The 21,946-nt window shown below is 56.4% G+C and overlaps 1 protein-coding gene across 7 annotated transcripts in view, besides 2 other annotated features; it reads right to left on the bottom strand.

Moving 5' to 3' along the window:
* AP3D1 (adaptor related protein complex 3 subunit delta 1) overlaps positions 1–21,946 on the bottom strand; it is a 63,629-nt gene that overhangs the window by 21,625 nt on the left and 20,058 nt on the right. For 5 of the 7 annotated variants that reach the window (XM_047439598.1, XM_047439597.1, NM_003938.8 and 2 more), the window contains exons 2-11: positions 16,007–16,102; positions 15,115–15,195; positions 14,399–14,479; positions 9,859–9,966; positions 7,796–7,925; positions 6,706–6,845; positions 6,478–6,551; positions 4,540–4,589; positions 1,218–1,267; positions 746–794 (exon numbers count right to left, since the gene is read on the bottom strand). In XM_047439598.1, coding sequence (XP_047295554.1) covers positions 746–794; positions 1,218–1,267; positions 4,540–4,589; positions 6,478–6,551; positions 6,706–6,845; positions 7,796–7,925; positions 9,859–9,966; positions 14,399–14,479; positions 15,115–15,189 — 757 coding nt within the window. In that variant the 5' untranslated portion in view covers positions 15,190–15,195; positions 16,007–16,102. Of the gene's footprint in view, positions 1–745; positions 795–1,217; positions 1,268–4,539; positions 4,590–6,477; positions 6,552–6,705; positions 6,846–7,781; positions 7,926–9,858; positions 9,967–14,398; positions 14,480–15,114; positions 15,196–16,006; positions 16,103–21,946 lie in introns of those variants that run through there. The other 2 variants (XM_047439599.1, XM_017027422.2) reach the window with 1 other exon arrangement.
* Positions 17,905–18,105: a silencer, noted in NCBI's record as "peak3230 fragment used in MPRA reporter construct". NCBI's record gives its function as "represses an SCP1 promoter by STARR-seq MPRAs in K562 erythroleukemia cells {active_cell/tissue: K562}" and the evidence as "EXISTENCE:reporter gene assay evidence [ECO:0000049][PMID:32103011]".
* Positions 18,770–18,927: a silencer, noted in NCBI's record as "fragment chr19:2141381-2141538 (GRCh37/hg19 assembly coordinates)". NCBI's record gives its function as "represses an EF-1alpha promoter that drives an FKBP-Casp9 reporter gene in an ReSE screen in K562 erythroleukemia cells {active_cell/tissue: K562}" and the evidence as "EXISTENCE:reporter gene assay evidence [ECO:0000049][PMID:32094911]".

The raw sequence follows: 21,946 nt of genomic DNA on the forward strand, positions 1-21,946 counted from the left end.
TAAGAAATGAACAACTAATAGTAACTAAGAACAGAACAACCATAAAACACGGTCACGAAAGGTATGTGATCGCGGTCTCTCTTGCAATACCCGACTGTGGGGTGCTTGCCTATTTTTGGACTGTGTTGGGGGTACCTGAAACCTCAGATAAGGAGGGCCACTCCACTATCTGGGCTGTTGCAGGCGAGTTTGCCAACTCCTGCTCTCAACAAAAAGACCTGGCTTCAAAATGAGCATCCAAAACACCGCCCAGGTACAAGGTACCAGGCAGGGGCCGCTAATTCTGATTCCTCAACAGAGCAGCACGGGGGCACCCACATGCAGGCAGGCACCTGGGCAAGGGTGCTGTGTGCTGCTCTATCTCACAACGCAAAGCCTCACGCACCCCCGCAAAAACATGCAGAGGCTGAAATATCCAGAAATTTCGGACCAAGGTGCTCAGTGAGTGGCATCTGTCCAACTGCCAGGATCTCCCCAGTGGGGGCCTTTGCCATGCCCCCTGCATCTCCCCTGGGACTGGGGCTCAGAGGAGCTGGTGTTTCCCAGCCACCCCACGCAGATAGGTCGGGGTGCAAGGGCGCCACAGGGCACTGGCAGAGGGCTGCCTCTGAGGCAGAGTGCCATCCATCAGGGAGACAGCTGGGGTTGCAGATGCCGTGTCCACTTCCTCCTCACACTAGGAGGACCCCTAACTTCACAGAGCTGGGGACACGAAAATGACAGCACTGGGGAGGGGATGACTCACAGTTCTGATCGGAGTCCTCGATCAATATCCTTAATTTCTGAACACAAAGCTGAAAAGAAGAAAAAAACGATGCTGGTTACATCCTCTAAACCAAGGGTGAGTCCCACAGGTACCCTCCAGATTCAACCTCAACCTGGCCTAAGGCCCGGCGTCAGCCCCACCCACCAATCAAAGCCCAGGAGGGAAACAAGCATGGCCCACATGGGGCACTGGAGACAAGGGAGGCCCTGCTTCCCACGGGCGCTCTCCCCCACTCCTCAGTGCCCCATGCATCCACCCCACAGACACATGATGGGGATCCCAAGCAGGCTCGGGTAGGTAGTGCACACAGGACGCGGCTGTGCCCTCCCAAGCCGCAAGATGGCGTGGGGGGACCAGCACCTTGGTCACAGGGTGGGCAAGCTCCCGCCTGTGGAAAGGTGTGGCCTCTGCAGTGTGGGACCCCATGGGCCCCGCCCAGTGCGGGACGTACCTGGATGCTGGCGCTGTGGTTGGGCATGCCGGAGGACAGCGAGATGAGCACTGCAACAGACAGCTTGGTCAGCACCACGGTCAGCACCATGGCCAGCGCCGACACCAACTCAGGGCCACGGGGCACCAGCACCCCCTCGCCGGGAGGAGGGATGGGAGGGAGGACAGAAATGCCACTGAGTTTGGGACCACGCAGCCCAACTGTGTTTGCAAAAACCTAGCTCCATCACAGGCCTGAGGATAGGAACCTGCAGGGGCCCCCACCCTCACTGACAGGATGGCTCGGGGCCTCAGCTGTTCCTGCAAACACTGGTTCACTCGCAACCCCTGCTTCCCTCTGGAGTCTGGAATCCCGGCAGGGGCCAGGCCCCGAGGCCACAGGACCAGACCCTGTAGGAACCCAGGCGCTGGGTCTCTGGGAGCCTCCATGGTGACACTTCACAAATTATCATCACAGCTCACTGCTGGGGGATGAAGCACATCCGGCAGGACTCCACTGAAAGAAGGCTCTAGAAGCTGGGCCTGGCCTCCCCAACATCCCCGGAGCCATTCCCCTTTGCTGACTCTGCTGCGTCCTTTGGGCAGGGACAGGCAGGCAGCGAGAAGCCGACCCTCAGAGCCCCAGCTCTAACAGCTTTAAAAGAAAGACATGAAGCCAGGGGACCGCCAGGCACATGCAGGGACAGAGACTCATTTTCCACCAAGCCAGTGGCATGGAATGAAGGTGTACAGGAGACCGTGTGTGCGTGTGCGTGTGCATGTGTTTTCTTTTTAAGACATGGGTTCTTGGAAGCTAAGCTATGAGGACGCAAAAGCATAACAATGATCTAGGCCAGGCGCGGTGGCTCATGCCTGTAATCCCAGCGCTTTGGGAGGCTGAGGCGGGCAGATGACCTGAGGTCAGGAGTTCAAGACCAGCCTGACCAACATGGAGAAACTCTGTCTCTACTAAAAATACAAAAATAAGCGGGAGTGGTGGAGCATGTCTGTAACCCCAGCTACTCTGGAGGCTGAGGCAGGAGAATCGCTTGACCTGGGAGGCAGAGGTTGCGGTGAGCCAAGATTGTGCCATTGAACTCCAGCCTGGGCAACAAGAGAGAAACTCCGCGATCCCCCCCACCGCCCCAAAAAAGAATGATCTAATGGACTCCAGGGACTTGTGGGAGGTGGGGGGTGAGGGATAAGAGACTGCACATGGGGTGCAGTGTACACTGCCTGGGTGTTGGTGCACATAAATCTCAGAAATCACCGCTAAAGAACTGATCCCTGTAACCAAATACCACCAAATGCCGCCCAAAAACTACTGAAATAATAATTTTTTTAATACAAAAAATACAAATATCTGGAAATGAATAACCCTGGACAGAAAGTCTACATATAAATGTAAATACGAACGAAGAAATGTGGCAAAATAAATGCATATTCACGCATGCAAGATTTCAGAAATGTCACACCCAATCTTTGTAGGAGTGTTGTTTTTTTGTTTTGTTTTGTTTCGTTTTTTGAGAAGAAGTTTCGCTCTTGTTGCCCAGGCTGGAGTGCAACGGCACAATCTTGGCTCACTGCAACCTCTGCCTCCCTGGTTCAAGCAATTCTCCTGCTTCAGCCTCCCAAGTAGTCGGGATTACAGGCGCCCGACACCAAGCCCTGCTAATTTTTGTATTTTTTAGGTAGAGATGGGGTTTCACCATTATTGGCTAGGCTGGTCTTGAACTCCTAACCTCAGGTGATCCACCTGCCTCGGCCTCCCAAAGTGCTGGGATTACAGGCGTGAGCCACCACGCCCGGCCAGGAGTGTTATGTGAATATAAAAGTAGATGGTAATTTTTTTTTCTTAAAATAGGTGTATAGATTACCCAGGTAGGAACAAATGTATTTTAAACAGAAATGTAGGCCGGGCGCGGTGTGTAGATGTGTTAATTATCTGAATTGTGCTATTTGACAATCTAGAGGTGTACCTTAAAAATATACCATTTTTAATTGTCAACTATACCTAAGTAAAGCTAGAAAAAAAAAAACAAAAGAGATGGGGTGCTGGCTGAGTACAGTAACTCAGGCCTGTAATCCCATCACTTTGAGAGGTCAAGGCAGGAGGATGGCTTGAGCCCAGGAGTTCAAGAACAGCCTGGGCAACATAGTGAGACCTTGTCTCTACCAAAAATTCAAAAAATTACCTGGGTGGGGTGGCATGCGCCTGTAGAAGCAAGAGGACTGCTTAAGCCCGGGAGGTCAAGGCTGCAGTGAGCTATGATCGCACCACTGCACACCAGCCTCAAGAGAGACGGGGTCTCACTCTGTCTGCAGCCTGGAACTCCCGGGCTCAAGTGATGCTCTTGCCTCGGCCTCCTGAATAGCTGGGCCCTCCTACTGGTGAGAAGCTTCTGCTTTATCAACCATAAGGAAGTCCACCGCCCAATGCCCCGTGAGGCTTTGGCTGACTTGGAGCAGCTTGGCAGAGACCACTGGGGACATTGGTCGTTGGCCCTTGTGCCCTGGCCCAGCCGGAGGTGTGGATTCTGACTCTGCCTTAGAAAATATTTTTGTGGGCCAGGCGCAGTGGCTCAGGCCTGTAATCCCAGCACTTTGGGAGGCCGAGGCAGGCGGATCAAGAGGTCAGGAGTTCGAGACCAGCCTGATCAATGTAGTGAAACCCCGTGTCTACTAAAAATACAAAAATTAGCCAGGCGTGGTGGCGGGCGCCTATAGTCCCTGCTACTCGGGAGGCTGAGGTAGGAGAATGGCGTGAACCTGGGAGGCGGAGGTTGCAGTAAGCCAAGTTGCGCCACTGCCCTCCAGCCTGGGCAACAGAGTGAGACTCTGCCTCAAAAAAAAAAAAAAAAAAAGAAAGAAAAAGAAAATATTTTTGTGGTAGATGCTGCTATTTAAGTATCCACGGGTGAAACGATATGCTGTCTCAGGAGTGCTTTAAAGTCTCAGAAAAAATGCAGTGTACTGTGAGAGCGGATGGCAGGCCCTGAGCAGCAGGGGCCGGCATCTGTGGAAGCAGGTATGAGGAGGGGCTTTATCTGCAGGTGAATCTTTCATACCCAAGGGGACTCCAGAGTGGCTGGGCCACCAGGCAGCTTAAGAAGCAAACACCCAGCACCAATGGCGGTGGAAGACCAGGCAGACGCATGGCCACCTTGACAGCAGAGGCCTGGGACGGACTCCCAGCCAGCCCCAGGCCCCACCAGCCAGCTTTCCTTCTCAGTTCCAGCAGGGGTGGCGCTCGGAGACACCAGGCCTGGCGCCCTCCTGTCCCCACCTGAGACCCCAGCCTGGCAGTGCCAGCCCTTCCAGATGGGGAGAGTGCCAGTTCTCACCTGCAATCACGGTGTTCACACATTCATAGAGGAGAGACATGGCAGACGTGCTAAGGAAAGGAACACAGGGAAGCGGCATGAGGACTGGGGGCCTCGTCAGATGCAGTGACCCAGTGCCGGCAGCTCAGCTGGAGACGGCCTCCGCCCCACGGCTCAGGGAGTGTGCCCCAGGAGGGAGCCCGTGCCTTGCTCTCCAAGGCCTGTGGTGCTCGGCTGGTCATCGTCTCATCTTCCCAGAAAGGGCAGGTGAGCAATCCCTCTGCAACTGCAGGCCCGTGACAGCATCCACGCAGGGACGGACCACGCACCCCCGGCGGCCTGTGAGATGGCAATACCGCCTTCCTACTGCATCTTTTCTAGAGTTTTTTTTGTTTTGTTTTTTGTCTTTTCTGAGACGGAGTCTCGCTCTGTTGCCCAGGCCGGAGTGCAATGGCGCGGCCTCGGCTCACTGCGACCTCCGCCTCTCAGGTTCAAGCGGTTCTCCTGCCTCAGCCTCCCGTGCAGCTGGGATTGCAAGCGTGCACCACCACGCCCGGCTAATTTTTGTATTTTTTAGGTAGAGACGGGGTTTCACCATGTTGCCTAGACTGGTCTTGAACTCCTGACCTCAAGTGATCTACTCGCCTTGGCCTCCCAAAGCGCTGGGATCACAGGCGTGAGCCACAGCTCCCAGCCCTTTTCGGTGTTTCGATGTGTTCAGACACACAGATAATCACCATGGAGTCGCAGCTGCTTACAGCTTTACAGTCACCTGCAGCGTAGGGCCGCAGCCAGGAGAATGGCCACGCGCCATAGCCTAGGAGTGTGGCGAGCTTCAGCAGTGAAGTCCGTGTGCGCGTATGCTACACTGCTCACATGGTGAAATGTACTAATGACACCCTTCTGTGAATGTGTCCTTGTTGCCGACACATGACTGCATCTGAAAGTCATGGCGATGACGCCTCTGCCTGCGGCCCACTGCACCCCTCCCCTTCCCTGCAGTGGGGGCCGGGGAGGGGTCCTGGCTCCGCCTCAGCACTTGGTCTGAGGAATTAAAGTGTCCCCTTCTAGCAACCAAAGGCAGCCTGGCCTGAAAAGGCTCCTAACATAGGATCCCATTCCACAACCTTGCAGTGCGGAGACCCACAAAGAAAACCCAAACTCCCCAAACGTCTCTAAGCAGCATGGAGAAGAGTCTAGTGGCCGGGAATGCCACTACAGGCTTCCAGTCTAGGACGGACAGTCATCTTTCAGCTGCTTCACGCCCAGCCCCCGCTGTACCGCACTGGGGCCGGGCTTGCAGCCACTCCAGCACTGCACCCCGTGGAGCCGGCCCGCCCCCGCCGCTCCGACACTGCACCCCGTGGAGCCGGCCCGCCCCACAGCTCCGACACTGCACCCCGTGGAGCCGGCCCGCCCCACAGCTCCGACACTGCACCCCGTGGAGCCGGCCCGCCCCCGCCGCTCCGACACTGCACCCCGTGGAGCCGGCCCGCCCCCGCCGCTCCGACACTGCACCCCGTGGAGCCGGCCCGCCCCACAGCTCCGACACTGCACCCCGTGGAGCCGGCCCGCCCCCGCCGCTCCGACACTGCACCCCGTGGAGCCGGCCCGCCCCACAGCTCCGACACTGCACCCCGTGGAGCCGGCCCGCCCCCGCCGCTCCGACACTGCACCCCGTGGAGCCGGCCCGCCCCACAGCTCCGACACTGCACCCCGTGGAGCCGGCCCGCCCCCGCCGCTCCGACACTGCACCCCGTGGAGCCGGCCCGCCCCCGCCGCTCCAACACTGCACCCCGTGGAGCCGGCCCGCCCCCGCCGCTCCGACACTGCACCCCGTGGAGCCGGCCCGCCCCCGCCGCTCCGACACTGCACCCCGTGGAGCCGGCCCGCCCCCGCCGCTCCGACACTGCACCCCGTGGAGCCGGCCCGCCCCCACCGCGCATGGCCTGCACTCACCTGTGGATGAGATTGGTGAGGGGCTCGATCAGCTTCTTGCCCAGCCGCGGTTCCAAAGGAGTAAGAGCACCGAACTGTGGGGACAGCAGGGCCTCGGTCACCCGCAGGGAATGCCCCACGCAGGGTGAGGGACAGGGGGGGCCTCGGTCACCCGCAGGGAATGCCCCACACAGGGTGAGGGAATGCCCCACACAGGGTGAGGAGGCCACATTCCCGGGCAGTACTTGCCAGCTTGATGATCTTGATGAGGACCCAGTTGTTGGTGGAGGACGTCATCAGCTTGAAAAAGAGCGGGGCCAGGGACAGGTAGTTCTTAGGGTTGCGTCTGGCCAGCTCGCAGATGACATTGACGGCAGCCGACTGAACCCCTGGGGAACAAGGGGTTCTCATCAGCATGCCTGTCCTTCCACCTAGAAAACCATCCTACTGTCTTCCTGGCCCGCGAGGAAGTTCTGGGGCCTGCAGCAGCTCCCACTGAACATGGCCCTGGCTCTGCCACCTCCTCCTGGTGACAGGGACAGCAGCCACAGACCTGATCCTCCAGGGAACAGGCCACAGCAGCCAGCTCCTGGCGCTGAGAAAGCATTGCTCGGCACTGTTGCCAGGAACAAGTGCGCACAAGCGTCACCAAGCTCAGGACAGCCTGACAGCGGCCCTCTGAGTGGGGGTTTCAGCATGAGGGCTCCAGAAACAGCTGCCCAGCCATCGGGGCTCAGGGAGTCTTCCTGCTGCATCCATGCCCACCACTCCAGGGAGAAGCTCGCCCATCGGGTCCCGGGCTTAGGGCTGGGGTCTCCCCTCCTGCACACAGGGCCTTGGGATTCCTGTGGGCTGGCTTTGGGGTCCACCGACCCACGCCTGCCACACGCCAGAGGCTTCACACACCAGCCCAGGGAAACTCAGTGAAACTGAATCTGCAGCCGCGTCCCGCAGTCACCACACCACAAATACACAACAGCTACACTAGGTGGAGGCAGCTCCTGCACGGGACATATGGTCTAGACCATCCCCTGCCCTGTGGAAGGTGCCTCCTGGTGGCACTGGTCCTAAGAGGGGCTGGCGGGGGTGGGTACACCTCTGCTCAGGGACACGCCAGACTCACCGCCAGCTGCCACATTGGATCTTACTGCCCCCACCACCAGCACCTCCCTCCTGGCTGCCCCAGCAAGGGGAGGCCCAGCCACCTCCAACAGGCATGTTCCTGGACTGAGCCCTTCACCACTCCCCGCAGCACCCCCCAAAACACGCCACCACCTCTTCCCAGGGCACCGGCTGAGCCCCCACCCTCAACCCTGAGGCTTAACTCAAATCCACAAACCGGGGTCGGGGTCCTCCAGCTTCTCCTTCAGCCGGGGAAAGGCAGGGCGCAGCGACTCGGGGTACTTCAGGAACACCTTGTACATGATCAGCACAGCCTTCTTCCTGATGTAGGGCTTGGTGTGTGACATCTGCGGGGCAGCGGGCTTCAGCCTGCGCGGGCTTTCTGCGCCTCATCCCTGCTCTCGCCCCTCCCAGCCGCCTCCTCCACAGAGAGGAGATGCCCTCCAGCCCGACGCTGTGGCTGCACACCAGTCCCAGGGGCCACAGACCAGCATCTTGGATGGCATGGAAGCCAGCCTCACTGTGCCCCTGACTCAGGCCTGCCCTCCAGAGAGAGCCCTCTTCCCTTGTGGCCTTCCTGCCCCAGGGTCCTGGGTCCCACAGTGGGAGGAAGGCTGGAGAGGAAAGTCACACAGGGAACGAGGGTGTGCTGGGAACACAGCCTACAGCCCAGCTCCTCACGGCTGTGCCCTGCGACTGCTCAAATTCCCCAGCGGGAGCCCTCCCATCTAACAGGCCCAGGGAGTCGCCTCGAACTGCCTGGTCCTGACAGAGCCAATCCATGATGGGGCACTGACATCCACCCTCTCGTGGGCTCCCCACTGCTTTACTCTAGAGGAGCCGGCACTCTGTGAAGGCCAGCAGTCAGTGTTTTCAGCTTCATGGGCCAGACAGCCTCTGTCATGACCACACAGCTGTGCCTTCACAACCAAGGCCACCAGAGACAACACAACACGTGAAAAGAAGGTGCAGCCGGCTGGATTTGGCCCTGTGCCGCAGCCTGCTGATCCCTGATCTAGAAGCTTAGCAGGCTGTGCTGACAATCTCCAAGACCATCAGCCACGATCTAGACACCTCCAGGTGGACAGGCAGCCACATGGGGACGGCGCCCATCGGCCACGATCTAGACACCAGGTGGACAGGCAGCCACGTGGGGACAGTGCCCATCGGCCACGATCTAGACACCAGGTGGACAGGCAGCCACGCGGGGACAGCGCCCATCGGCCACGATCTAGACACCGGGTGGACAGGCAGCCACGAGGGGACAGGGCCCATCGGCCACGATCTAGACACCCGGTGGACAGGCAGCCACGAGGGGACAGGGCCCATCGGCCACGATCTAGGCACCCGGTGGACAGGCAGCCACGCGGGGACAGCGCCCATCGGCCACGATCTAGACACCAGGTGGACAGGCAGCCACGCGGGGACAGCGCCCATCGGCCACGATCTAGACACCTCCAGGCGGACAGGCAGCCACGCGGGGACTGCGCCCATCGGCCACGATCTAGACACCTCCGGGCGGACAGGCAGCCACGCGGGGACCGCGCCCATCGGCCACGATCTAGACACCTCCGGGCGGACAGGCAGCCACACGGGGACCGCGCCCATCGGCCACGATCTAGACACCTCCGGGCGGACAGGCAGCCACGCGGGGACAGCGCCCATCGGCCACGATCTAGACACCTCCGGGCGGACAGGCAGCCATGTGAGGACAGTGCTTCCCAGGGAGGAAAGCATGCCCGCTCCACACTGTTAATCTGGCTACTGTGTTTTAAATGAAAAGGAACAAAGGTCCCCTCATGAGCTGGAGGTTAAGTCAGGCACAAAACAGATGTTTCTGGGGCCAAAATTTCCAGGGGCTTCCCAGGTTTTAGACTGTCACAGCCGGGGGCGTAGCCTTTGACAAGCAGAGTGGCAAGGAGGAGTCAAGCTGTGGCCAGGGATGGAGGAAAGAGGACCACACAGAAGCCCACTGGCAGCTCAGACAGGAGCCACTGTCAGACCTCAGGGCAAACATCCCCCACCGTGCCTGGCCTGTCAGGGACACCCTGTTGCTCCTCTCGGCAAGATGATTTCAAATATCAACTTAAGACACGCAGGAACCAAAGCGGCCCAAGAGCCGCTCCACCAGCTGACAGTGATTTGGTTCCCATTTCAGGCAGGCCACGCACCGGGGACCCCGGCCGGTTTCCGCATAGCCAAGCTTCCCAGGCATGCCACTTTGACCGAGTTTTTCCCAGAGCAGACATGCAGGGGTGGTGGGCAGGCTTACAAACTCACCAGTGTCATGATGTCATTTGCCAGGTCTCTGGCAAGGTCTGGGGTGACGAAGCAGGACAGACCCGTCAGTGCAACACCTGTGTCGTACTGGCTGGGGCTGCTCAAGTCCTGGAAAGTGAGAGAAAGGGGCCGTGGCCAGGATGCCCTGGGTGGCACATCCGACGCCTGGGTCACCAGGAGCAGCAGGAGCGAAATTCTCCCAGGATGCCCCAGGACTCGGCATATCCTCTTGGGGTGCAGCTGTGCCTTAGCACCCCTGCTGCTGAGGGGTCTGAAGCTGAACTCGGACAAGGAGGAAGAATTTACAGCCCATGGGAGACTCTGTCACCAAGAGAGGAGCCGGGATGGGCGCGGCTGGGAACAGTGAGGTCTGAGGCACAGGCTGAAACGCTCTGTGGGTGGGAATCAACCAAGTTTCTTGGCTCCTCCTGGATGGGCAGGGCTGGGGACAGAGAGGTCTGAGGCACAGGCTGAAGCACTCTGCGTGGGAATCAACCGAGTTTCCTGGCACCTCCTGGGACAGAGGCGCCTGTCACAAGTCACTCCAAGTGTGGGGAAGGGCCACCCCGGGTGCAAGAGCAGAGCGTTCCAGGCCTAAAACCAGGGCTTCCCTCACGTATCACTGGCAGCTCCCAGCTTGCAGAGACGGCGGTGCTGGGCCTGGCACAGAATGGGCAGGAAAGCCCCACAGGATGGGGTCCTCAGAGACCCTGCTCCCATTTGGGGTCCCTTTCCGCAACAACTGAGGGGAAGGGCCCAGGAACAGCTCCCATGGGTCCCTCTCAAAGTTCAGCTGGCAGCTGCCCACGCCCTCCCATGAACTCTGCCCCAGCTCTTCACTCCCGCAGCTCTCACTAAAACACGGAATCTGCCCCAGCTCCTGTGTCAGCACTTGGGGAAATAAATCCTCTCTTGATATCACAAACCTGCTCTTGGGGAGAGATCTTCTTAAGGAAACTCCCGAGACTTCATCTATATATGCATCTACCAAGATCCGTTTTCAGGGTTAATATTCTGTGGTCAAAATATGACAAGGCCAGCTTTTTTTTTTTTGAGACGAGTCTCACTCTGTCCCCCAGGCTGGAATGCAGTGGTGCGATCTCAGCTCACTGCAACCTCCACCTCCCAAGTTCAAGCAATTCTCTGCCTCAGCCTCCCAAGTAGCTGGGATTACAGGTGCGTGTCACCACGCCTGGCTAATTTTTGTATTTTTAGTACAGATGGGGTTTTACCATGTTGGCCAGGCTGGTCTTGAACTCTTGATCTCATGATCCGCCCGCCATGGCCTCCCAAAGTGCTGGGATTACAGGCGTGAGCCACAGTGCGGGGCCAACTGGTTCTTTTAAAAGGACACAGTGGCCGTGCGCGGTGGCTCACGCCTGTAATCCCAGCACTTTGGGAGTCTGAGGCGGGAAGATCACGAGGTCAGGAGATCGAGACCATCCTGACCAACATGGTGAAACCCTGTCTCTCCTAAAATAAAAAAAATTAGTCGGACACGGTGGTGCACACTTGTAGTTCCAGCTACTTGAGAGGCTGAGGCAGGAGAATTGCTTGAACCCAGGAGGCAGAGGTTGCAGTGAGCCGACATTGTACTCCAGATGGCGACAGAGTGAGACTCTGTCTCAAAAAATAAATAAAATAAAATAAAATAACACAGTGAGCTGAAGTGGTGGCACACACTTCTAATCCTACCACTTTGGAAGGCCGAAGCAGGAGGATCACTTGAGCCCAGGGGTTTGAGACCAGCCTAGGCAACGCAGTGAAACCCTCCCTGCCTCTACAAAAAATACAAAAAAAATCAGCCAGGTGTGGTGGTGTATGCCTGCAGTCCCAGCTACTCAGGAGGCTAAGGTGGGGAGATCGCTTGAGCCTAGGAGGTCGAGGCTGCAGTGAGCTGCAATTGCGCTACTGCTCTCCAGCCTGGGTGACAGAGCAAAACCCTGTCTCAAAAAAAAAAAAGTAAGAAAATAATTTTTTTTAGGGCTGGGCGTGGTGGCTCACGCCTTTAATTCCAGCACTTTGGGAGGCCGAGGCAGGCAGATCATGAGGTCAGGAGTTCAAGACTAGCCTGACCAACATGGTGAAATCCTGTCTGTACTAAAAATACCCTAAAAAAAAAAAAGAAAGAAAATAATTTTTTTTTTTTGAGACGGAGTCTCGCTCTGTCACCCAGGCTGGAGTGCAATGGCACAATCTTGGCTCACCACAACCTCCGCCTCCTGGGTTCAAACAATTCTCCTGCCTCAGCCTCCTGAGTAGCTGGGATTATAGGCACGCACCACCACGCCCGGCTAATTTTGTATTTTTAGTACAGACGGGGTTTCACCATGTTGGTCAGGCTAGTCTCAAACTCCCAACCTCAGAAGATCCACCCGCCTCAGCTTCCCAAAATGCTGGGATTACAGGCATGAGCCACCGCACCCGGCCCAGGAAATAATTTTTTTTATTAAAAAACAAGCCAGGCGCAGTAATCCCAGCACTTGGTGAGGCTGAGGTGGGCAGATCACCTGAGGTCAGGAGTTCCAGACCAGCCTGGCCAACATGGTGAAACCCTGTCTCTATTAAAAACACAAAAAAATTAGCCGGGTGTGGTGGCACATGCGTGTACTCCCAGCTACTTGGGAGGCTGACGCAGGAGAATTGCTTGAACCTGGGAGGCAGAGGTTGCAGTGAGCCAAGATCACGCCATTGCACTCCAGCCTGGACGACAGAGCAAGACTCCATCTCAAAAACAAAATAAAACAAAACAAAACAAAAAAATAAAATAAAAAACAAAATGAGGCCAGGCACAGTGGCTCATGCCTGTAATCCCAGCACTTTGGGAAGCCAAGGCGGGCAGATCACTTGAGGCTGGGAGTTCAAGACCAGCCTGGCCAACATGGTGAAACCCCATCTCTACTAAAAATACAAAAATTAGCCAGGCATGGTGGCGGGCACCTGTAATTCCAGCTACTCGGGAGGCTGAGGCAGTAGAATCGCTTGAACCCAGGAGGCAGAGGTTGCGGTGAGCCGACATCACGCCACTGCTCTCCAGCCTGGGCAATAGAGTGAGACTCAGTCTCAAAACAAAACAAAACAAAACAAACAAATGACACACTGGACTGCAAACATCGGAAGCACGTGATCCTACACAGAGGAAGCAGGTGCTAACTGGCTGAGCCAGGGCCCACCTGCGTCCGAGGCCAGGCCAGGGGCAGGCACCAGGTCAGAGCCGCGCCCGACACACAGGGTCTAACAGCCCTGAGCACCTCGCAAGGCAGCGGCGGATCTAAGTCCCCAGTGAGGTGCTCACACAGGGACCGGCCGTGCCGAGCCCATCAGCAAGAGACACAAAGCTGGGCACGACACGTGGCCCTCCTTGCTGGGCAGCTGCCACCTGGGTACCTAGGGCGGCTGGAGCCCTCCACCCTCCTCCCTCCCAGTTACCACCTGCAAAACCCGCCCCCATCCTCCTCTTAGCGGGCCAGACTCCCGCCCAGGCCCCACCTGCTACACGGCCACGACCCAAGGAGACTCCCGCCCAGGCCCCTCCCGCTACACGGCCACGACCCAAGAAGACTCCCGCCCAGGCCCCTCCCGCTACACGGCCACGACCCAAGAAGACTCCCGCCCAGGTCCCTCCTGCTACATGGCCATGACCCAAGAGCCCCACGGCATCTAGGGCGCATGTCGCCCGCGGCCCAGGCGGGACGCCCAGCTCTATAACCTTGCCCACAACGGTGAGCCCAGCAGAGCCAACAGTCCCAGGACCTGCACCACACCCTGTGCCGGACATCAGTCACAGCCAGTGCCCCCACACCTGTCCCTCGGCGTGCTGGGAGCCCCCAGCCCAGGACTTCAGGTCACACTGTGGGGTCGACAACACAGCCACAGGGTCCCGCCCTTGCACATGGACATTGGAGAGCCGGGACCGTGGCCTCTGACGTGCGGTCTGGGGCCAGAAAGGGGCCAGCTGCCCATGAAAAGGGTGGGCCTGATTCTCCAACACCCCAACCCCTCTATTGAGAGGCGGGAACCAAAGGTGTTCAGAGCTCGGGGCCAATAAGGACCTTTACTACTACCCAGTGGCCTCCGTGACCATTTCAAAATGCAACATTTACATGGTGCTGAAAAATGCACCTCGTGGGACTCAAAAAAAGCCGCGGGCAGGAAGCACCCCACATGGGCAGGGAAGGGCCCACAGCTACACCAGGCACTACCATGAGGGGAGAAGGGAAGAAAGTGGGTGACCGCAGAGGCCAGCTGCGAGTGGACCCTGGAGCCCCATTCGCCGGCCCCTCCAGGTGGTGAGCGAGGGAAGGGGGCACCGCACCACTCAGCATCCCTCCACCTCACAAGCCCACCAGGGAGCGCAGGCTCAGACCCGCCGGGCCTCCTCTCTGCGTCTGCTGGGAGGACTGTGGCTCCGGAAGCCCCGCTCGCACTCAAGGGGGCCACAGGCACCTGCTGCCCACAGGAAGACGCGTGTGGGAACCAGACGCTCCGGCAAGGGCAGACTGCACTCAGCACAGAGCGGCCCCGGCCCGGGAACACCCACCTTACGGATCTGATTGGTGGTCAGCATGATGACGTCGGTGCCTTCGTGAAAGCTCTGGGAAGCAGCGAGGTAGCCAATTCGCTGGGAGAGAACAGATGAGCACATCAGAGGCAGGACACCCGCAGCCTCCAGGAGCTCCAGCTCTGCTCTGCAGCGACCACACCAGGCAGCGCCAGCCCAGAAGCAACACCCTGCAGCCTGGACGCTGGGGCCACCAGCAAGTGGGAACCAACCCGCATTTGAAAACCAACGCAGATTTCTTCAAAATTCCATGAGGAAATTCCCAGTTTGGAATATGTATGTGTTTTTTTTTTTTTCTTGGAGACAAAGTCTCGCTCTGTTGCCCAGGCTGGAGTGCAATGGCACGATCTCAGCTCACTGCAACTTCCACCTCCCGGGTTCAAGCAATTCTCCTGTCTGAGCCTCCCAAGTAGCTAGGATTATAGCCGCGTGCGCCACCACGCCCCACTAAATTTTGTATTTTTAGTAGAGATGGGGTTTCACCATGTTGGCCAGCCTGGTCTCCAACTCCCAACCTCAGGTGATCCGCCTGTCTCAGCCTCCCAAAGTGCTGGGATTACAGGCCACTGAATCCACCTTGGGTAACAGAGCTAGACTCTGTCTCAAGAATAATAATAATAAAAATTGGCCAGTCACGGTGCCTCACACCTGTAATCACTCCCCACCCCACCAGCCTTGCCGTCCCAGAACCTCACCTTGAAGGTGAACTTGGAGGCACTCATCACTTCTATGATGTTGAAGGCGGCCCAGCTGATGTCGTATCCCAACATCTGTAACTGTTAAGGGACGCACAGGAAATTGCACTCACAAGCCAAAGCAGAGAGAAAGGTTTTGAGCCGCGGCATCAAGCGCTCCCTCCCAGCACACGGTGCTGGAACAGACTCATTCACTGTCAGCAAACCACCCAATACGTACCCCTGGGGCCTTTAATTTCTTCTTTTGACAAACGACTCTGACATTTAAAAGCTACAGGGACAAGTTAGTAACAGGCACTAAAAAGAGACTCAATGTCTGCAATTGGTTAACTGGCGCTTACGGGTACTGGCTACATTCCCCTACCAACCCTTGGCGAATCGGCTCCTTGAAATAGTTACGAGACGAGCAGCAGCATGGGGGACCCTGGACGAGCCCTTTGTCTCGTCCTCCCACGGGGAAACGGGCCAGAGGGAGGAGTGCCTGTCCCCAGCTCACGCACTGACCTGGAACTGCAGCCAGGAAAGGAGCCAGCCCTGGAAGGTCCAGGGCCCTAGCTCTCCCCACTAGGTGTCCTGGCCCAGCCTGTGGTGGGAGGGAGCCGAGACTGCAGGCGAGGGGCGTCCCCAGTGAATCCCACCCAGAAGAGGACCCCATGGGGCTCCCTCAGGGCTACCACCAGGGCCTGTGGGTTGCCACCCTCTGGCCTGTTTGCCAGCCATGTGACCAACATGGCTTTCTGCTCCAGGACTCTGGGTTGGCCCTGAGTGGCTCACCGACAGCAGGTGGTACCAATGACTGACAGGTGGACAGACAGGCTGATGAATAGGGGACACGTGCTGAGTGGAGAAGCAGCCCGACAGTGCTGGGCGCTGGCCACTGGGAGGCACTTACATACGTCAGCTTGCAGACCGCGTTCGCCTTCACCGCTATGTTGTCCTGCTTCAGCTCCTGCTTGATCTCATCAATGCACTGAGATATGTATTTTGCCTATAATGGGGGATAAACACAGAGATTACAAACATCCAGCTAAGAGGGCTGGAATAATGATTTCGGGCCAGGCACAGTGGCTCACGCCTGTAATCCCAGCACTTTGGGAGGCCGAGGCAGGCAGATCACGAGGTCGGGAGTTTGAGATCATCCTGGCCAACATGGTGAAACCCCGCCTCTACTAAAAATACAAAAATTAGCTGGGCGTGGTGGCGGGCGCCTGTAATCCCAGCTACTCAGGAGGCTAAGGCAGGAGAATCGTTTAAACCTGGGAGGCAGAGGTTGCACTGAGCCAAGATGACACCACTGCATTCCAGCCCAGGTGAGAGAGCCAGACTCCGTCTCAAAAAAAAAAAAAAAAAAAAAAAAAAAGGAAAGAAGCCAGGCATAAGAGAGAGCACACCGTGTAATCCATTTCTATGAAATGTCCAGATCAGGCCAATCCAGAGACAGGAAGGGGATTCGTGGGTGCCACAGGCTGGGAGAGGAGACGGGAGGGTTCGCTTTCTTTCTAGGCTGATAATGTTCTGGAACTTGGCCGTGGTGGTGGCGCACAGCATTCCGCTATACACGCCCCACCGTTTGCCAACTCCTTGGTGGACGAACATGTGGGGCCTTCCCACCTTCAGCCAGGGTGACTCTCACTGCTGTGAAAACCACACTCAGGTTTTGAGGGGATGTGTCTGGTGTGTCTGGATCCCCCTGGGCCTGCTCACTAACTGCGCGTGTCTCCAGAACACCATCAAGGACAATTCTGACCCAAGCGAACTCAGGCACGAGGTCCAGAATGGCAGACAAGGTTCCCAAGGGACAGGCAGACGTGAGGCGCCCAACATAGCACCAGAGACAAGCCGAGTCGATGCCATGCTGGCCCCAGAGACAACCCACCCCACCTGGAAGGAGAGGAGGGAGCAGCAGAGGCTTGGAGTGCCTCCATCAGTGAACGATGAGGCACCCACAAGCCCTCCTAATGCACAGGAGCCCCTCTCCATCATCCGACAGGTCAGGAGTGACGGCTGCCCGGGCCCCGTCCTGCCAGCCCCTACGTCGGGATGCAATGTTCCTCCTGCTGTGCCCACCAGAGGCAAGGATGGCAAGCCCACCCCATCACGCTTCTGTCCTCAGCCCCACTGTAGCTGGCCTCGAAGCAGCCCCAGGAGTACCCACCACTCATGTGTCACCCAGGACCACACCCCAACCTCGGCTGCCAGCTGCACCGGGCTGGGGAAGGAGACACAGCTGTGGGGGAGTGGGGGGGTGGGGGAGGGCACAGACACATAATATTTTCCTCCATGCTTTATGATCCAACTTTGTACAATGGAAAGAGTGCCACCCGATCCTCCAGACGGGCTTCAAATTACTACACCTCACCCCAGGACTGTGCTCCCATCCCCGGAGCAAGGATAACCCACTCCTCCTGCTCAAAGGGTCAGGACTGTTGATTTAAAAGGAAAAGAACAAAAAGACCATCCCAGGCGTGGAGAGGTCAGACCCTCACGAGGGCAAAGGGGATGTCAAACGGCGCGGCTGCTGTGGAAAGCAGCCTGGGGTTCCTCCACGGTTCCATGTGGAGTTACCGCCCCAGCAATTCCACTTCTGGGCGTGCACCCGAGGGGATGGAAAACAGGTGTCCAAACAAAAACAAGCACACGAACACACAGGGCAGCACCATTTCTAGTGGCCTGAAACAGGAACAGCCCCCACGCTCGCCGCTGATGAATGGATACACACCATGTGGTGGGTCTGCTCCAGTCAACTTGCTTGACTTTTTTTTTTTTTGAGACAGGGTCTCACTCTGTCGCCCAGGCTGGAGTGCAGTGGTGAGATCACTGCTCACTGCAGCCTCCACACCCCAGACTCAAGTGATCCTCCCCGCTAGCCTCCCAAAGCACTGGGACCACAGGTGTGCGCCACCACGCCCAGCCACTAGTCAGCTTTCTAGGAACTCGGCAGTGGGTCACAACCCTGGGACTCCCTCTTGGCTTTTAACTTCTGATAAAGTCCAAGTAGCTCCTCTCAGACCAAGCCTCACACAAACGTCTTTTTTTTTTTTTTTTTTTTTTGAGACGGAGTCTCGCTCTGATGCCAGGCTGGAGTGCAGTGGCACAATCTCGGCTCACTGCAACCTTCACCTCCCAGGTTCAAGTGATTCTCCTGGCTCAGCCTCCTGAGTAGCTAGGATTACAGGGGCACACCACCATGCCCAGCTAATTCTTGTATTTTTGGTAGAGACGGGGTTTCGCCACGTTGGCCAGGCTGGTCTCGAATTCCTGACCTCAGGTGATCTGCTCGCCTCAGCCTCCCAAAGTGCCAGGATAACAGGCATGAGCCACTGCGCCCGGCCTGAATTAGAAAAAAAATGTATTAGTTGGGGTAGGGAGACATGACCTAGACCCAAAAGATTATATTATAAACATAGATGTAAATTAGCTGAAGCTATAATGTGGCTATACATCATTGACACTTTCTACAAAAACACCGGGAAATCAGAGGAGCAACATGGTGAAATTTCTCAAACACCTCAGCTAGTTCCACACTAAATTCACACTTCACCACACAGCAAGTGAGATACTAAAACAATGATGCTGGTCTCAGCATCTATTTAATTCTGGGATGTAATTTAGAACACAGGGTGCGTATTTCCTTTATACACTAAGTCCTCAGGACTGCAGTAAGACAGGCCATTTAAACCCTAGATACACAGGAAAACTCCCTGGGGTACTTTTTTTTTTTTTTTTTTAATGGAGTCTTGCTCTGTCACCAGGCTGGAGTGCAGTGGTACGATCTCGGCTCACTGCAACCTCCGCCTCTCGGTTCAAGTGATTCAAGTGATTCTCCTGCCTCAGCCTCCCGAGTGGCTACGATTACAGGTACACACCACCACGCCCAGCTAATTTTTGCATTTTTAGCAGAGACAGGATTTCACCATTTTGGCCATGACGGTCTCGATCTCTTGACCTCATGATCCACCTGTCTCAGCCTACCAAAGTGCTGGGATTACAGGCGTGAGCCACCATGCCCGGCCTTTTTTTTTTCTTTTATTGAGATAGGGTCTTCCTCTATTGCACAGGCTAAAGTGCAGTGGCCTAACCATGGCTAACTGCAGCCTCAACCTCCCAGGCTCAAGAGATTCTCCCACCTCAGTATTTGGGAGTACAGTAAATAGCTGGGATTACAGGGCCATGCCACCATATTGGGCGAATTTTTAAAATTATATATATTTATATATATTTATTTTTGCATATATTTATGTATATACTTGTTTACATATATATACATTTATTTACATATATGTTTATTTATATATATATATGTATCTTTTGAGACAGAGTTTTGCTCGTCGCCCATGCTGGAGTGCAGTGGTGTGATCTCGGCTCACTGTAACCTCCGCCTCCCGGGTTCAAGCAATTCTCCTGCCTCAGCCTTCCCAGTAGCTGGGGTTACAAGCAGGTACTACCACGCCTGGCTAATTTCTATATTTTTAGAGGGGGTTTAGCCATGTTGGCCAGGCTGGTCTTGAACTCCTGACCTCAAGTAATTCGCCAGCCTCAGCCTCCCAAAGTGCTGGGATTTACAGGTGTGAGCTACTGCACCCGACCTAACATTTTTTACTTTTGTAGAGTTGGGGTCTCACTATGTTGCCCAGGCTGGTCTTGAACTCCTGGCCTCAAGTGATCCTCCCACCTTGGCCTCCCACAGTGCTGGGATTAAAGGTGTGAGCCACCGCACCTGGCTGGCGCTTTTTCTAGTTTTAAACTTCCGATTCTCAGTCCTTCGCCTCCAATGAATTAAGTCAGCATCTTGAGACCAGGGAGGCCACATGGTCACAACCTCAGCAGCTGATTCTCAGGTGCTGTCCAGTTCAAAGACCAACGAGCTGAGCCCTTGGCACATCCCACGGTGCTTTCCACGTGGCCGCCTGGCTGAGGGGAGCCGGGCCGCTGAGCCGCATGCAGGCTGAGGGCCTGGGAGCTCACCCAGCTCATGAGAGCAAAGCCCGGTCCCCCTCACCCCAATGGGGGCTCTGAGGGGTTTTTTCTGTTTTTTTTTTTTCTTTTTTTATTTGAGACAGAGTTTCACTCTTGTTGCCCAGGCTGGAGTACAATGGTGTGATCTTGGCTCACCACAACCTCCGCCTCCCAAGCTCAAGTGTGATTCTCCTGTCTCAGCCTCCCAAGTAGCTGGGATTACAGGCACGAGCCACCACGCCAAGCTAATTTTATATTTTTAGTAGAGACAGGGTTTCTCCATGTTGGCCAGGCTGATCTCGAACTCCCGACCTCAGGTGATCTGCCCACCTCGGCCTCCCAAAGTGCGGGGATTACAGGAGTGAGCCACCACGCCCAGCCTCTTTTTCTTTTTTTTCTGAGATGGAGTCTCACTCTATCGTCCAAGTTGGAGTGCAGTGGTATGATCTCTGCTCACTGCAAACTCCACCTCCCAGGTTGAAGTGATTCTCCTGCCTCAGCTTTCCAAGCAGCTAGGACTACAGGCACGTGCCACCATGCCTGCCTAATTTTTTTTTTTTTTTTTTTTTTTTTTTTGAGACAGAGTCCTGCTCTGTCGCCCAGGCTGGAGTGCAGCAGCGCGATCTCAGCTCACTGCAAGCTCCACCTCCTGGGTTCATGCCATTCTCCTGCCTCAGCCTCCCAAGTAGCTGGGACTACAGGCGCCCGCGACCATGCCTGGCTAATTTTTTGTATTTTTAGTAGAGACGGGATTTCGCCGTGTTAGCCAGGATGGTCTCGATCTCCTGACCTTGTGATCCGCCCACCTTGGCCTCTCAAAGTGCTGGGATTACAGGCGTGAGCCACCGTGCCAGGCCAAGCCTGCCTAATTTTTGTATTTTTGTGTAGAGAGGAGGTTTTTGAAGCCCTGTTTCAAAAAAATCAAAAAATAAAAAATTAGCTGGGCGTGGTGGCACATCGTGTAGTCACAGCTACTTGCAAGGTTGAGGTAAGAGGATTGATTAAGCCCAGGAAGTCAATGCTGTAGGGGGCCGCGATCGCACCACTGCACTCCAGCCTGGGCAACAGAGCAAGACTGCCTCAAAAAAAAAATAAAAAAGGAAATAAATGAAAGTGCTGCCTCGGCCAGGTGCGGTGGCTCACGCCTGTAATCCCAGCACTTTGGGAGGCCGAGGCGGGTGCATCGCCTGAGGTTGGGAGTTCGAGACCAGTCTGACCAACGTGGAGAAACCCCATCTCCGCTAAAAATACAAAATTAGCCGGGGTGGTGGCTCGCACCTGTAATCCCAGCTACTCGGGAGGCTGAGGCAAGAGAATCGCTTGCACCCGGGAGGCAGACGTTGCGGTGAGCCGAGATCGCGCCATTGCACTTCAGCCTGGGCAACAAGAGTGAAACTCCGTCTCAAAAAAAAAAAAAAAGAATTCCAAGTCCCAACAGTAACTGAGTCAGGAAAGGGGACGCGCCGGCGAAGTGGTCCATCCTGCCCAGGATAAGTTACTATCCACAATCACCATCACTTCGAATTCAAACAGAAAAGCCACCAAACCCCAGAACCCCAGAAGCAGCATGAAAGGAGCTTCTCCTGCGGAGCGCTCTGCTCTTTCAACAGCCCGGGACACCGTCCTGCTTTATTCTCTTGTTGTGGACAGGCTCAACGCCCTCTGCACCCAGGAGCAGAGCGGCCGCGGCCACCCTGAGGCAGCATGGAACCGAGGCCCCCACACCGGGACCTACCTCCACTCCCACAACTGAGGCTGGTGCAGCACACTAACACGCAACAGGGCAGAAACCAGAAACAGCCCCATCCAGGACCAGACCCCGGCCAGCCCTGCCTAGTCCAGCCCCAGCCCGTCTCTGTGCTCAGTCCTGTAACTT

Source organism: Homo sapiens, chromosome 19, assembly GCF_000001405.40.
Source record: "Homo sapiens chromosome 19, GRCh38.p14 Primary Assembly".
Lineage (NCBI taxonomy): Eukaryota > Metazoa > Chordata > Mammalia > Primates > Hominidae > Homo > Homo sapiens.